Source organism: Homo sapiens, chromosome X (genome assembly GCF_000001405.40).
Source record: "Homo sapiens chromosome X, GRCh38.p14 Primary Assembly".
NCBI classification, from domain to species: domain Eukaryota; kingdom Metazoa; phylum Chordata; class Mammalia; order Primates; family Hominidae; genus Homo; species Homo sapiens.
This window is the reverse complement of record NC_000023.11, coordinates 88,981,949-88,997,762: the sequence shown is the minus strand read 5'-3', so window position 1 is coordinate 88,997,762 and position 15,814 is coordinate 88,981,949. Positions and strand designations below refer to the sequence as shown.

Sequence of the window (15,814 nt, the reverse complement as noted above, 5' to 3'; positions counted from 1 at the left end):
ATTAACAAGACAAAAACACAAGTTTATTGATATGTATATTGTAGTGGCACTGGGTAAAATAATTTACCAGGACAGTTGTAGGTAAAGGAAGACAATTATTAAAGAAAGTAGGGAAATATGTTGCTGGAGAGACAATGGGCAGTCTGCCTGAAGGAGCCAAGGGGATTTTATTGGCTTTATAAGTTAACTTGATCCCTTAAAGCAGTTTGTAAGTATACCATTCCAGTTAAGGCTTTGGTAAAATAACCAGTGTTTCCAATTGTGTCCTGTTACAAAAGAAAGGAGATTCTTAATGAACTTCTGCACATAACTATACTGCCATAAATTAAGTATACTTGCAAATAGTTTTTAAATTCTGGAGAAATTAGGTCTCCCAGAGCATTCAGGGATCAGAATTTTTAAGGATAATTTTGCAGGTAGGGGTTCAGGAAGTGGGGAGCTCTGAATGGTTGGGTTGGAGATGGAATCACAGGAAGTCAAAGTGAGGTTTTCTTGCTGTCTTCTATTACTGGGTGGGATCGCAGAACTGATTGAACTAGATTACTGTTCTGTGGGGTGTCAACTGGGGTATCAGAATGCAGGGTGTGCAAAATATCTCATGCGCTGATCATATGCTTCACAACAGTGGTGTTATTCTCAGGAGCAATTTGGGGAGATACAGATGCTTGCAGCCAGAGCTGTGTGGCCCCTAAACTGTAATTTCTAATCTTGTAGCTAATTTGTTAGTCCTACAAATGCATACTGGTCCCAAGGCAAGAAGGTTTTGTTTTGTTTTGTTTTGTTTTGTTTTTGTTTTCGGGAAAGGGCTATTATCAATTTGATTTCAGAGTTAAACTATTAACTAAATTCTTTCCCATGGTTAGTTTGGCCTATGCTTAGGAATGAACAAAGACAGCTTAAAGGTTAGAAGCAAGATGGAGTTGGTTAGGTCTAATCCCTTTCACTGTCATAATTTCCTCAGTTATAATTATTGCAAAATGGGTTTCATAAATAGGTTAGAAGAATAAAGTCTTTCTGGACTCTGAAAACAAACAAATTAATAATATTTTACACAAAAAGCCATAAAAATTATTTGGGTTTTTCATTAGTTAACTTTATAAAATATAATTAACTCCTACTTTGCCTAATATTTACGAACACATTAGCTCTAATATTTATGAACACATTAGTAGTTTTTTTTTGTGTTTTTCTTTTCAATTTGATGTTACAATCTTTAAAGTTGTTAGAAACCCATTTAAGAGCACCTGTTGTAGTTCTATAGCTGATTATAAAACCAACCTGAATATAATTAAGGTAAAACAATTGGGAGTGACAAAAGTTTTAAAACAATTTAGAAGTCTTACAACAATTGTGAGTGACAAAAGTTTCAGAACAGCCACAGTTAATATTTGGTTATTTTTGTGACACTAATTTAACAAAATAATTATAATTATTACTGATAACATATACTGAGAAATATTACAGGAATTTTATACAATTTTGGAACACACACCAATAGCCCATAATATAAATGCAGTTTAAAGAATGCTAAACACCACTTTATATTTGACAGTACATCCTGTGTGATTTTAATATGCCAAATAAGCTAAATATGTTATTTTCTGGACTTTAGAGTATTTAATACTTGAAAACCTAAATAATTCCTTTTTCATTTTAGCCAACCAGAGAACTTTTTACAAGATTAACCCTTTTACCAGGAAACACATTTAAGTTCTCTTTTATACCTGATATGGTTAGGCTTTGTGTCCCCACCTAAATCTCATCTTGAATTGTAATCCCATGTGTTGAGGGAGGGAAGTGATTGAATCATAGGGGCAGTTCCTCCCATGCTGTTCTTCTGATAGTGAGTGAATTCTCATGAGACCTGACAGTTTCATAAATGGTAGTTTTTCCATCTCTCTCACATGCTCTCTTTTGCCTGCTACCATGTAAGATGTGCCTCTTCCCCTTCCGCCATGATTATAAGTTTCCTGAGGCCTCCCCAGCTATGTGGAACTGTGAGTCAATTAAACTGCTTTTGTTTATAAATTACCTAGTCTCGGGTATGTCTTTACAGCCATGTGAAAATGGACTAATACTATACCTTGCATGTAAAACTGTTTCTCCAATAGTCTTAAGCACATTACAGTGTTAACTCTTAGCAACTTTTATTTTTGATAAAAAACCTAGTAAGCAAGCAATTTTAAAGATGTATAAGATTGCAGAGACCATAACTTTCTCCGGCCTAGCCAGGGGACCTGGCTAACACTGTATGCTCTCAGGCCTTACCTTGAATTTAGTGGCTGTAAAACAGACAAGTTAAGCAATTACTGAAAGTTATAGAAGCAGTTTATGGCCTTAAAACATTTACCAAACAGTATGGTAAATGGGTGCCTAGTTTAGACCAAATGTATAAACTTGTAAGACATTTTTTTTTTACCAGTGATCTTTTTAACTGTTTTTAGTTTTTTAAAGATTATAGTCCTGTGACCTAAATGCATTAAAGTTTTTATTTCTTTTTCTTGAAAATGTTTGATTCGAGTGCTTACTTTTCATTTAAGCCAATTAATTAGAGTTCATTTATAAAAACATCACACATACAATACAAATAATAGACAGATACAGAGAATTAAGACAGAATTCCAATGGCTGAGATATTTTTTGAGGTCAGTAAACCTAAACAAAAATATATATTGACAGATTTTAAAACATTTTTGAAATAATTTTACCAATAATTTTAAAGCTGGCTTATTTGGTAAAGGTTCATGTGAACTTGAAAAGCATTTGAGTACTCATTTACTTATATTCCAATTTGGTAGCATGCTAAATAAAAAAAATACAGAATATTACATGTATATTACATAGACATATTTAAACATATATACATACATACACAAGGATTCAATAGCTTTTACCTCAGAACTTTATCCATGAGACAGCATTATAAACTTACCAACCTATAAAACTTAAGTTTTTTTTCAGATAAAATGGGAACCTGTTCACATGGCTAAAACTTTGCAATCCAAGGAAAGCTGCAAAGCAAAATTTGGGTAAAGTAGTCTTTTTGGCAACTTGGTTTAACAAAACCTATTTTACTCTTTAACTTTAAATGGATTTTTAATGTTTACACTTTAGTTACGCCATAAATGATGAGTCTCATTTCAGCAGCAGTAACTTAGTAAACGCAGATTTAAAGCAAGGAGAGGTTTTTTTTTTTTTTTTTTTGAGATGAAGTCTCACTCTTGTCCCCCAGGCTGGAGTGCAATGGTACAATCTCGGCTCACTGCAACCTCCGCCTCCAGGGTTCAAGTGATTCTCCTGCCTCAGCCTCCTGAGTAGCTGGGATTACAGGTGTCCACCACCACACCCAGCTAATTTTTGTATTTTTGGTAGAGACGGGGTTTCACCATGTTGGCCAGGCTGGTCTCAAACTCCTAACCTCTGGTGATCCACCCGCCTCGGCCTCCCAAAGTGCTAGGATTACAGGCGTGAGCCATGGTGCCCGGCCAGCTGGGAAATTTTTTTTTTTTTTTAAAGAGGAAGATAGAAAGCTTTAGAAAACTATACTTAACTTTATAGTGTAAGTTAACCATTTGAACTTCAAATTTTTCTTGTTGTAATTTGACAATTGGTTTAAAATGTGCACAAAACAGGCCATAATATGTAACTAGCTTGAGTTTTAAACAGAATGATAAAATTAGGGGTTAGGATGTTAGAGACTGTTTTTTTGTTTGTTTGTTTGTTTTGTTTTGTTTTCCCCTTTTACATCTGGATTTTTAGATTGAACAGAAAATGAGAAAAAATAAAAGAAAGGAGAGGAGAAGAAAGGGTTAACTTTTACTGGCAGACTGGTGAGCCTTTCAGCCACTGCAGAGTGCAGGGTTAGCATCTTTGCTACTTTTGTTTATCTCCTGTTAGGGAGAGCCTTAGCATTCTAGATTTACATGGTGTAAATTTTACACCAGTAAATTTACCAGTTAAGGTGATTTACCAGTTAAGGTGAGCTGTTTTAACCAGAGTAAAGTGCTCCTTTAGCTTAAGGCCATTAGGGATTGGGGTTTTGTCCCGTGGGCCCTTTAACTTTCAGGGTAGTTCCATTTCCTCTGGTTGAGCTTGTGGCAGAGAAGGCAAGCCATCTTGCAAAGAAAAATCAGATGTTTCCTTGTGAGGGTTTGGGAGTCAAATTTGCTTCAATTCTTTAAAATATAGCCTAGAGGTGAGTCTGAAGGATTGAATGGGGCTTGCCCCATGTTGGGACTGGAAAATGCACCGCTAGTAGCTAATGAACTGCATTTTCAGGGTGTCTGCTAAGATAAAAAGGGTTTCATATCTGTCTGCTAGGAAACTTAGGGTGCACTTTCTAAAGGGCCATCCCACCTATTAGAAAAGACTACCTGGCCATTTGTGGGCTTTACGCTGGGTGGCCAGCCCAGGAACGCACTTACACTGAGTGATCAGTCCAGGTATGTGGAAAAAAGGGCAAAGAAATATTTGTGCCCTGTGCCAGCCCATGAGAGGGGTGAGGAGGAAACTCAACATTCTGAGGCTGTTCGAGATCATCTAATTCGGCAATGTCCGAAACAGATCGCTAGCTGACTCTATAGGAGAATTTAGAATGAGAAAGTGAAGGTTTAAGTCACCTGAAGTGTGTGTGAATTTGCCCTGAACAAGCTTCCACCGCTAATTGCATTACATGTAGGAATCATGGACAATAACAAGAAAAGACAGGAGAGAATTTCTCCCCCTTCCGACAGGGCAGCTATCTCTGTCCACTCTTTGGCCTTCAGGCAACACCTGAGAGTGGCCCCAGCCAGTTGGGCCAGTTACCCTCAGTTACCAAAGAGCTACTAGGAAACGGCCACTGAAATACTGAAGAAAGAAAAAGGACTCAGGTTCCTCACCCAAACTGGGTGGTGGTGGTGGCCAGGCATTTCCACATGGACACATTTCAGTCCCACTGGAGTGTATCCTGTCTCTAACAGTCTCTAACATCTTAACCCCTAACTTTATGCCAGAGACTCACAATTGCCTCTGTGCTTATGAAACCACCTTTGCAAAAATTATAAGTGAGACAATTATTACAGTGAAAGAGATCTGAGCTAACTGACTCCATCTTGCTTCTAACCTCCAAGCTGTCTGTGTTTAGTCCTGGGCGTAGGCTGAACTAACTCTGGGAGGAACTTAGTTTATGGTTTATCTTTGAAACAAAGATGATAACAGCCCTTTTCCAAAACAAAATCCTGTCTGGGGACTAGACTGCCTTTGCAGGACTAACAAATTAGCTAGAAGCTTAGAAATTATGGTTTAAGAGTCATGGAGCTGGAACCTGCAAGACTCTAAACTTCCCCAAATTGCTCCTGGAAATAACATCACTGTTGTAATATGTAGGATCCATGCTTGAGATATTTTGCAGACCCTGCATTCTGATGTATCAGCTGACACAGCCCAGACCAGTAATCTGGCTCAACCAGTTCTGTGATCCCACGCAGGAACAGAAGACATGGAGAAAAACTCACTTCAACCCCCTATAATTCCATTCCCAACCCGACCAACAAATCAGCACTCCCCACTTCCTGAGCCCCTACTTGCCAAATTATCCTTAAAAACTCCAATCTCCAAATGTTCAGGGAGACTGAGTTCAGTAAGAATAAAATTCCAATCTCCTGTACAGCCAACTCTGTGTGAATTACTCTTTCTTTATTGCAATTCCCCTGTCTTGATAAATCCGCTTACTCTAGGCAGTGGAGAAGGTGAACCCGCTGGGAGGTTACGCTTAGATACTGTCAGCCAAGGGTCTCAAGTTGGGAAAAGGAAAGATACAGGGAAAAGATTTCCCCATGAGAAGAGAGAGTGTTCCCCCATATGGAGCAGAGGGAGCCCCACATAGAGATAGGTTCCTATACAGGTCACCAAATGTTGTGGGTGAACGATGGCCAGTGGCACAGGGGTAAAAAAATTTACCAAGACAGTTGTAGGTAAAGGAAGGCAGATTTTTTTAAAAAGAAAGTAGTAAAATACATTGCCAGAGAGACAATGGGCAGTCTGCATGAGAGAAGCCGACAGCAAATAAACGAAGGCTTGCTGAAGATTTTATACAATGGGATTTGGGCTGATTGATAATGCAAAGTTAGCAGGGGGGTTAACTTGCATTCTTCTGTTAGTGGAGGTGTTTGAACTGACGTGTTTGATGGTATGCAGGAAGTTTGTGAGTTGTGTATGTTGTCTGGTCAGGAAGGCCAAATGTATCCTGGACCACTAAAAAAAAAAAAAAAAAAAACACACACACACACACACAGCAGATCTACAGTTTATCTGCTTCCTCTATTTGTTTGGATGCCCTGGACCATGAAAGAAAGCATACTTAAAGCTTATTTGCTCTGTTTGTTTCCCCCTGGTCTTGTCAGCCTGACTCCTTTTCCCTAATTAGGACTCCACATATATCTCATATATAAATGTGAGAAAACTCAGCAAAAGAGAAACTCCCAAAGATGTGGCATAGAATTCAGGTTTAAATGTCATTTTCAGGTAAAAGCAAAGAAAGAAGACTGTGAGGGAGATTATTTATGGAAATGTGACCAGAAAAAGCACAGTAAACAAGGTTGGTATTGCAGATTTAAATTTGTGCCTTTTCAAATGATAAGATTCCATTGTGATTTAGAGTCATCCTTCTTTTTCTAATACAGAGAGAAATACACACCTACAAATGGAGATTTCCTTTATAAATGTAAATTTACATTACAAAACGTGGCTTGTACTTTGTTTACAGAGCTATTCCTATCTTTTATCTTTCTCAAAATAATCAGCACATAATCCTATGCTAAAGAGACATATTTTGATGTGATATATTCCAGTCTTCTACAGTCACATTTTGGAATGGCATATTCTGGTCTCTTATAATATGTAGATTTCAAATGTTGGAGTTATTTTAAAGAAATTGTGTCTGTTATTTCTGAATTGAATAACTCAGAATATGTATAGTTTAAAAACATCTAAACGTTTAGAATTTGAAGGCAAGCTAACAGAAAAGAAAGAGCACTAAACTGGGAGCTAGAAAACCTTGTAAACCTGTAATAGTCAATCTCCCTGTGTTTTGGTTTCTCATATTAAAAATAAGAAGGTTGAACTACATTATCGTGGTTTGAAAAGTTTCTTTATTGATCTATTATCTGCAATTTTGTAATTTTATTTTCTTTTTCTCAGTAATTACTATCATTTTTTAAAATATATAAGATGCTTATAGGTCTTTAAATAATATATTAGTATTTATAAAAACACTTGACTATTACAAATGTTTTGTATCTGCAAAACTTAGTATTGTTTAAGAATGGAAGCAAAGTTGGTTATTTTGTCTGTTAACCCAAAATATCTAAGACAGGACTCAGTCAATTTAAAAAGTTTATTTTGCCAAGGATAAGAATGCACCTGTGACAGAGCCTCAGGGGGCCCTGATGATATGTGCCCAAGGTGGTCTGGGCACAGCTTCATTTTATACATTTTAGGGAGACATGAGACATCAATTAATATATTTAAGATGTACATTGGATTCATCTGGAAAGGTGGGACAACTCAAAGTGGGGAGGGGTCTTCCAGGTCATAGGTAGATAAGAGACAAATGGTTACATTCTTTTGAGTTGCTGATTGGCCTCTCCAAAGGAAGCAATCAGATGTGCATTTATCTCAGTAAGCAGAGGAATGACTTTTAATAGAATGGGAGGCAGATTTGCCCTAAGCAGCTCCCAGCTTGACTTTTCCCTTTAGCTTAGTGGTGTTGGGGTCTAAAATTTTATTTTCCTTTCACATTTCCCTTCTTTTCTTTTTAAAATCTTTCAGAAAAAGCATTTTAGAAGAAAAAGAGTCTCTGGTCCCAGTTTTCATCTGATTTCTCATGGCTAGGATGGTTTATTCCTAGAAGGGTAGGTCCCATGTTGTTAGGAAAACTCATTTTTAGAAGGTTGTGAAGTCTCACATCCTGTGAAGAGCAAATAGTGGGAGGAAGGTGAAAAACAACAACAAATGAAAATATAAAAATTCTGGAAAATCAATGTAGGCCATATAACTCTGAAGTTCATATATCAGTAGGCAGGTATGAGAGTGGCTTACGTATGTAAACAAGTTGCTTTTATTTTCTTCTGAAGTTTAATTTGCCTAACTTCAGTTTGCAAGGCTTTAAGAAAGCTCAGCTTAGTTTTCAGTGATTTAAAATCAGAAAAAAAATTTAAAAGTAAAAGAAAGAAGGAAAAGAAATGGAAAACATTATACTGGGGACTTGTAACCACAAAAAGTTTCAGAATTTAGTCCAAACTGTAGAAAATAATAAAAATTGAAAAGCCTTATGCAAGACGAGAAGCTAATAACAGGTGTACTATAGTTGATTTTGAAACACAATTTTTCTCTCTCCAGTCCCCATTTTCAGTAAAGACTAATTATAGTACAAATTCATTTGGAAGATAAGTTTTAGTCTTATGATACTTGGCCTGAGTATTTTCATAAAGTGAGAAAAAATAATTATTTGCCATACAGGCTCCTTCTTCTTTTTTTTTTTTTTTTTTTGGCTTTGTTGCAACTTAATTCCATAAAGGATCTCAGATTTGACTTTAATGCCTTAAGCCCATTCTGTGCCTACAAATACCTGTATTAGCTGAGTGAATTCCTCACTTTTAGGGTGCAGGAAAACTTGGGGCTCTTGGGCTTGTTAGAAAGTGACATTCTTTACTTACCATAGGTCAGGAGTCTGTACAGGGCTGCCTAGACAAGGTATTATGCCAGTTTTCCCCAGGGGCTTTTATTGGCTGTATAAGTTAACTTTAATTCCTTAAAGGAGTCTGTATCTGAAAGTACCCCATTCAAGTCAAGACACTGGTAAAATAACCAGTGTTTCCAATTGTGTCCTGTTACAAAAGAAAACAGATTCTTAATGCACTTATGTAAATAACTACATTGCCATAAGTAAAGAATACTCACAACTACTTCTCAAATTTTGTATAAATCAGGTAGAGAGAAATATGTTCCATATTTTGTTTATCTGAGTATAGTTTACCCAATTCTTAAAAGCTGCAAATAGCTCAAAAGAACAGTTTTCTCGGCTCTCAAAAACAAAGGATTAGCAATATTTAAAGCAAAAATTCATAAAAGGATTATGTCAGTCTTCTATAAGTTTAGTCCATGCAGTTAACTCCTGTTCTGCTTGATACTCATCTTTAACTCTCCTTGGGAGTCTTGGAAGTTTTCTCTGTATTCTAGTGTAACAATCTCCATAGTTATCAGAAACCTGCATTTGACAGCATCTGTCAGAATCCTATAGCTGATTATAAAAACATCTTTGGAAAAGGATAAAAGTAAAAAGAACTGTATATGACAAGTTTTAGAACAGGCATAGCTAAAGACACAATTGACAAGGAAATTTGTTTACTTCTATGGCATACACCGATTTTACATAATAATCATAATTACTACTGATAACATACGTTAAGACATATTAGAATCACAGGAATTTCATACAATTCTGGAACACACACTAATAATACATTTATATAAATATAATCCCAAGAAGATTAAACACTGTTTCATATTTGACAATACTTCTTGTATGATAATAAGCCAAATATGTCTCTTTTGGACTTCAGGAAACCAAAATCCAAAAATTAATGAGGACTGAAGTTAGAACTTAATTTTGGAAAGCTTGCTGAACATAAAAAGTTTAAAACACTTTATATTGCCAGAATAGAATCACAGGTCATTGTAAAACAGGTCATTCATTTAGCCAAAGTAATAACCCACAGATTTCAAAAAAGGTGGAAACCTTTATTATTTGAGAGAGGAGACAATTTTCCAAACAATAATCCTTAATAAAGACAGTGTAAGGTCAATTAAATGTGTCTCTCAACATCTTGTAAACAACCTATACAATTTAATCATCTTGACCATACAATATAATTTCTATTAACCTTCTTGTAATCTTTATAATTTTGTATTAAGGAGTGGGTTAATGCTCCAATAAAACCTTGTTAATCGGTCACCGAGGCCCAGATGCTGGTTTTGCATCAGTGTGCCTTTGATATTAATAGTTAATTTCTAGAGAAACTGAACTAATTTTATCTCTTAAAGCCAGCCCTTACAATCTTACATGCCCACCTCTTCCATGATAGTCCTTGGGCTCTGAGGAGTTGAACAGTTTTTTCTTTTTCTTTTTCTTTCTTTTTTTTTTTTTTTTTTTGAGACAGAGTTTTGTTCTTTTCGCCCAGGCTGGAGTGCAATGGCGCGATCTCAGCTCACTGCAACCTCCACCTCCCAGGTTCAAGCAATTCTCCTGCCTCAGCCTCCCAAGTAGCTGGGATTAAAGGCACCCTTCACGATGCCCAGCTAATTTTTGTATTTTTAGTAGAGCCGGGGTTTCACCATGTTGGCCAGGCTGGTCTCAAACTCCTGACCTCAGGTGATCCACCCACCTCGGCCTTCCAAAGTGCTGGGATTACAGGAGTGAGCCACCATTCCCGGCCAAGTCGAACAGTTTTAATGTTTGGCTCTGTGTCTCACAAACACAGTTTATTGTGAATGGCATCTTCTACCAGGTCTGAAGATGAGACTTTAACTGCTGTCAGTGTTTAAGATTTTAGCAGGACTCAGTGTCCTTTTTAGGTCCAAGAGTCAAAGCCCTGTAACTCAATGGCACAAGGACTTTAAAGGCACATACAGAAAGTTACATGGATGTAATAACCTTAGCTTACAAAAAAATTATTCTCAGTTTTTTCTAAGCAAACTAAAGCTTAATAACAATGACATAAGAATTATTTCAATAAAATGTAAAATCTGTTTTTTCAGCCAGTTGCCAAAAGGCAAAAGAAAATAACTTCTGCGGTGCACAGAATACTGTATTGGAAGAAAACATTTCATTTAGACCTTCAAGAAAAACATTCTTAGCATTAGGCCACAACAAACAGCAACTGAGGGTGGGGGGTCGTGGGGGGAACTTGCATAAGCTTGAGAATTAGTTGAGGGAGAGAGTCATTATTTTAGGCCTTTTGAAGTGGGAAAGAAAACTGAAAATGGTGAGACAATTATGTTTTTGGGTTAAAAAGTTAAAATATCTTATAGTTTATTAAGAGTAAATCAATCCCTTAAGAAAATGTCATTGTTCTAACCAATTCTTTAGTGCATAAGCGTTTTTACATCAATAACCCAATCTCTAGAGAGACTATTATAAATTATTTCCCTTTAATTATAGACAACTTGATATGAAATATTTTATGACAGGCTTGGGTTTCTCTTTTAACCTAGGCACCCTCTGTCTTTTCTTTTTTTTATTATTATACTTTAAGTTTTAGGGTACATGTGCACAACGTGCGGGTTTGTTACATATGTATACATGTGCCATGTTGGTGTGCTGCACCCATTAACTCGTCATTTAGCATTAGATATATCTCCTAATGCTATACCTCCCACCCCCCCCACCCCACAACAGTCCCCGGTGTGTGATGTTCCCCTTCCTGTGTCCATGTGTTCTCATTGTTCAATTCCCACCTATGAGTGAGAACATGCGGTGTTTGGTTTTTTGTCCTTGTGATAGTTTGCTGAGAATGATGTTTCCAGCTTCATCCATGTCCCTACAAAGGACATGAACTCATCATTTTTTCTGGCTGCATAGTATTCCATGGTGTATATGTGCACATTTTCTTAATCCAGTCTATCATTGTTGGACATTTGGGTTGGTTCCAAATCTTTGCTACTGTGAATAGTGCTGCAATAAACATATGTGTGCATGTGTCTTTATAGCAGCATGATTTATAATCCTTTGGGTATATACCCAGTAATGGGCACCCTCTGTCTTAAATAACCATTTATTTTATTTTAAGACAAAAATTTATCATACAAGATTCATTCTCATATAAAATTATTTTCCTTTTAATCTTTCTTGCCAAAAATACCTCTTTATAACATTTTTTACGTTGATTTTATTCACTGATTGCCTTTACCTAATTTTATAAAAAACTTTAAAATAACCTTTGAATTAGACAAAAATTAGTTTTAAGTAAAATCCCAGTTCTTTTTTAAAAAATATTTTCCTATTATTTAAAGAAAATTGGAAATGACCTAGACATTTAATGAATAGCTATTATTTTGCTTAATATAACATTAGATTTTATATTATATGACAAGATTACTTTTAAACATTCCATTACATTTACCTAATTTTTTTTAATAGTTTAACCAGATTACTTATGAAAACTGTGATAGTTATTATTTAAAGTTGTTTCCTTGTTAACCACTTTTATAACCTGTGAATTTCAGGTTTTCCTAAGCAAAAATTTTAAGATTAGATAAGTTATTTTTTTTCCAATAAGTCAGAATTTTGTCGTTTTCATTAACTGAACAATATTAAATGTTTTATTTATTAAATTTTACATAAACGAAGATAACTCTCTTTTAAGCTGCATTCATAGCTTTATAACACTCATGCCAAATTTTGACATCTAGCAGAGACAATGTATGTTAACAATTCTCAAGGCATTTTTTATCCTATTTCACCAATATTTTAAAAAATAGCTTATTTATTAAATATTTACTTAAATCACAGGAACGTTAAAAAGCACTTGGCTTAAAGTCTCTATTTTTCTGGTAATGTATTTGATTTAAGCATTTTAGCCAATTAATTAGAGCTATTTTATACATTTTTAGTAGTGAAACATCATATACATGATACATAAATGCATAGATGTATTAGATACATAGATAGAAGTAAATCTTATATATTCATAAGGCCTCTATTTTTTCTTCCTATTTTAGACTTCCAATTTCCTATTTTATTACCCCAGGCAATTGTCAGCTAGAAGGCCCTTCATTTACATATTAAAGGACTCTTAGGTTAAAAAATAGCATAGTGAAATTTACATCTCAAAATACAGAGAGAAAGTCTGGTGATGCTGGAGGGAGATTAAAGATAGATGTCAAATCCAACATAAATTTGTAGAAATCTATCATAGGATTATAAAAGGAGATCAATTTTATTTAGACAGAGTCTACCTACCTTTTAACTGGATTTCTGAGTTCTGAGCAGAGCCCACACTGAATCCTGGGTCTCCAAAAAGGAAGAATTATTATGAGGCTAGACCATGTGATGCTTTTACAGTGCACTTTAGTTTTTTTGTTTGTTTGTTTTTTAACAAAGACATTTTTGTGTCTAAACTACACTCTTCTTTAAAAACTTGTAAGATACAATGAATTTCTTTGAATTTCTCTTCAAAGGTTCAGCCTGTTAACTTCCTTGTTCTTTGTTCTCAAACTCAACTTTCTTGTTCTCCATGCCTCCTTGCCTCTAGTTACTCTAAACAACCTTCCCATCAGTTTTAATCTATAACTCACATCTGTTCCCTTAGTTACCCGCTCTGCACCTATTCTACCCTTCGAAACCACAAGTCCTACCATTGTAACTCACTCACACATCCCCCTTCCCTTCCTGATTTGGGAAAATATTCACAAGTAGCCAGTCGGGTCAGTTTAGATTGTGCAGTCCAACCCCAGCCCATGGGGGAGTGACACAGAGGTAGGGACCCTGCATTAGACATAAAAACCCCTTCCCTCCTTTATTCATCGTCTCTTATTTATCTATGACCTGGAAGCTCCCTCCCCTCTTTGAGTTGTCCTGCCTTTCCAGATTGAACCAATGTACAATTTACATATATTTATTAATGTCTCATGTCTCCCTAAAATGTATAAAATGAAAATGTGCCCTGAGCACCTTGGGCACGTGTCATCAGGACCTCCTGAGGCTGTGTCACAGGTGTGTCCTTAACCTTAGCAAAATAAACTTTCTAAATTGACTGACAGCTGTCTCAGATATTTTGTGTTAACAATTTGGTGACCACAAAGGGATTCTGAATGGAGGTGTCCTTGACTTTTGACAAATCTCCTATGGGTGCTTGGTACTAGCTTGAAATACTTTTATGGCTCAAACTAATAAAACAATTTGCTGAGGCCTGGGAGCTCCCCTCCCTCCAGAAAATCCCTGATCTCCCAAAATTTGGTTGAGATCTAAAGTTTATTTTTCTGTACAATGCCTTTTCTGGAGATTTACGTGCTTCCAACGAGGAAGGCAAGTTTTTCTGCTTTCATGACAATGCAAGGCAGGTAACGCCTTTCTGGAGTTTGAGCTCACTTCCAACGGAGAAGGCAAGTTTGAGTTTTCTCCTGCTTCTAGGATAGTAGATAGCAGTCTTCAGCCTGAGACTCCTCCCTACGTAAATAGCTGAATTGGGGTTTTTATCTTAGCAAAAGTTAAGATTAACAACCAGCTGGTCTTAATTCCTCTTTACCATTAGAGCATTCGGTAATTGTATAATTTGTGCATCATTTGTTTTGCTTAAAATTTTTTTTGTTATTGTTGTAGTTTGTTTCTGTTTTTCTTGTTGTTTCAGTTTTTTGTCGTTTCTGTTTTTCTTGTTGTTTCAGTTTTTTGCATTGGTTTGACCAACTCTATCTGACGTAATCAAATCCAATATAAAGTTCAAATTTATGGGAAACAAGGCATCTGAAGTGGCTAAATTCCTGCACAAAAAGGTGGTGGCGGGGAGCAGAAAAAAAGGCCAGCCAAAAGAAAAAAAGCAAAAAGGAAAGATTTTTAATTAGACTACTTAAGTGGCTTTATTTACATAACAAGGCCACCTTTTTGCTAGCCAAGCCAAACTGAAAGAGCAATGGCTGTTGCCCCATGCTGCAATTCTGTTGTAGCTAAGGTTCTGCCTTCTTTTTTCCCGTGACAGCCTGGGTTTGGTTCCTAAATCAAGTCCTTTCTGGTTTGATACTTGTTACTTTTGAAATATCAGCAGTTTGTCCTAGCTAAAATATGGTAATGAGATTTTAAAAGACTTTTTTAAAGAAGCTCAATGTTTAAAAGTCAGCTTAATTAAAAGCTAGCATCAAAGATGTGTGTGTGTGCATGTGTGTGTTCGTATTTATGAAGCTTTTATGTTTTTTTCTCGCCTATGATCTTTTCTTCTTTGAGCAAAAGTTTTTCTTTTTCTTCTCAGCTGACTAAATTCTGTTTTCTTCATTTAATTCTGCTGTCTCACCTTTCTCTTGCTATTTTTTTCCTTTGCTTCATGAGGGACCTAAAATAGTTTGTAAGAGCCTGGGATTCCTTAAAGTAAACAGAGAAGGCATCAGGCTCCCTTCTGGGGAGAAACCTCTGTTTTTCCTTATGGAACCCCAACCCAGATCAAACAGCTTGCTTTTATATTGTGTTACTCGATTTCTTGACTAAAATAGTTATTCCAACAGAAACTATTCTTGAGTTCGTCCGACCCCTGGTGCGCCCCCACGGTAGGCAGAGCCCACGCTCCTGCCTCGCGGCTGGTCGGGGGTCCAGGCACCACGTCAACTGCGGCTCCGCAAAACACGCGGACCGGGCCGCAGCCCATACCCCAAGCAGACAGCGTTATGGAACATCTGCCTTAATTCTGCCCGGGCCAAGTGGTGCGGGACTTCGGCCGCAGCTCCAAGCAGGTGGGCATCCCCGCAGCTAATTTTCCTAAGCAAGTGGTAAATAATCTTCCAGCTAATATATCCATTGGCATTTACCCTTCATATATGATCACCCTTGTTATCTAATAGGGTTCTTCATCCTCCACCATCCCCCAGGTGATGTCTGACTACCTGGCTTGCCCTCAGCAATGGTCTTGTTATGTTGGTTTAACCAGAATCTCCCCTTATATCTGATGTTTCAAATTGATTCAAATTTTAGTAATTGTTTTATCCGCAGACACCTACCCTGTCCTTTGGATACAAATGCCCACTTTTTTTTATTTTTTTTTATTTTTGTAATCAGAATGGAGTTCAATCTCTC

At 36.5% G+C, this 15,814-nt stretch overlaps 1 long non-coding RNA gene across 1 annotated transcript, besides 1 other annotated feature; it reads right to left on the bottom strand.

Annotated features, from left to right (window-relative positions):
• Positions 1 to 7,788: 7,788 nt before the first annotated feature.
• LOC107985653 (uncharacterized) lies at positions 7,789 to 13,049 on the bottom strand. The gene is made up of 3 exons (XR_001755987.1): positions 13,001 to 13,049; positions 8,697 to 8,867; positions 7,789 to 7,948 (listed from the first exon to the last, which is right to left on the bottom strand). It is a non-coding gene; the product is annotated as an uncharacterized LOC107985653 (long non-coding RNA).
• Positions 14,099 to 14,687: an enhancer, noted in NCBI's record as "NANOG-H3K27ac hESC enhancer chrX:88238077-88238665 (GRCh37/hg19 assembly coordinates)". NCBI's record gives its function as "activates a minimal SCP1, AML or CMV promoter by ChIP-STARR-seq in naive H9 embryonic stem cells {active_cell/tissue: H9 hESC(naive)}" and the evidence as "EXISTENCE:reporter gene assay evidence [ECO:0000049][PMID:30033119]".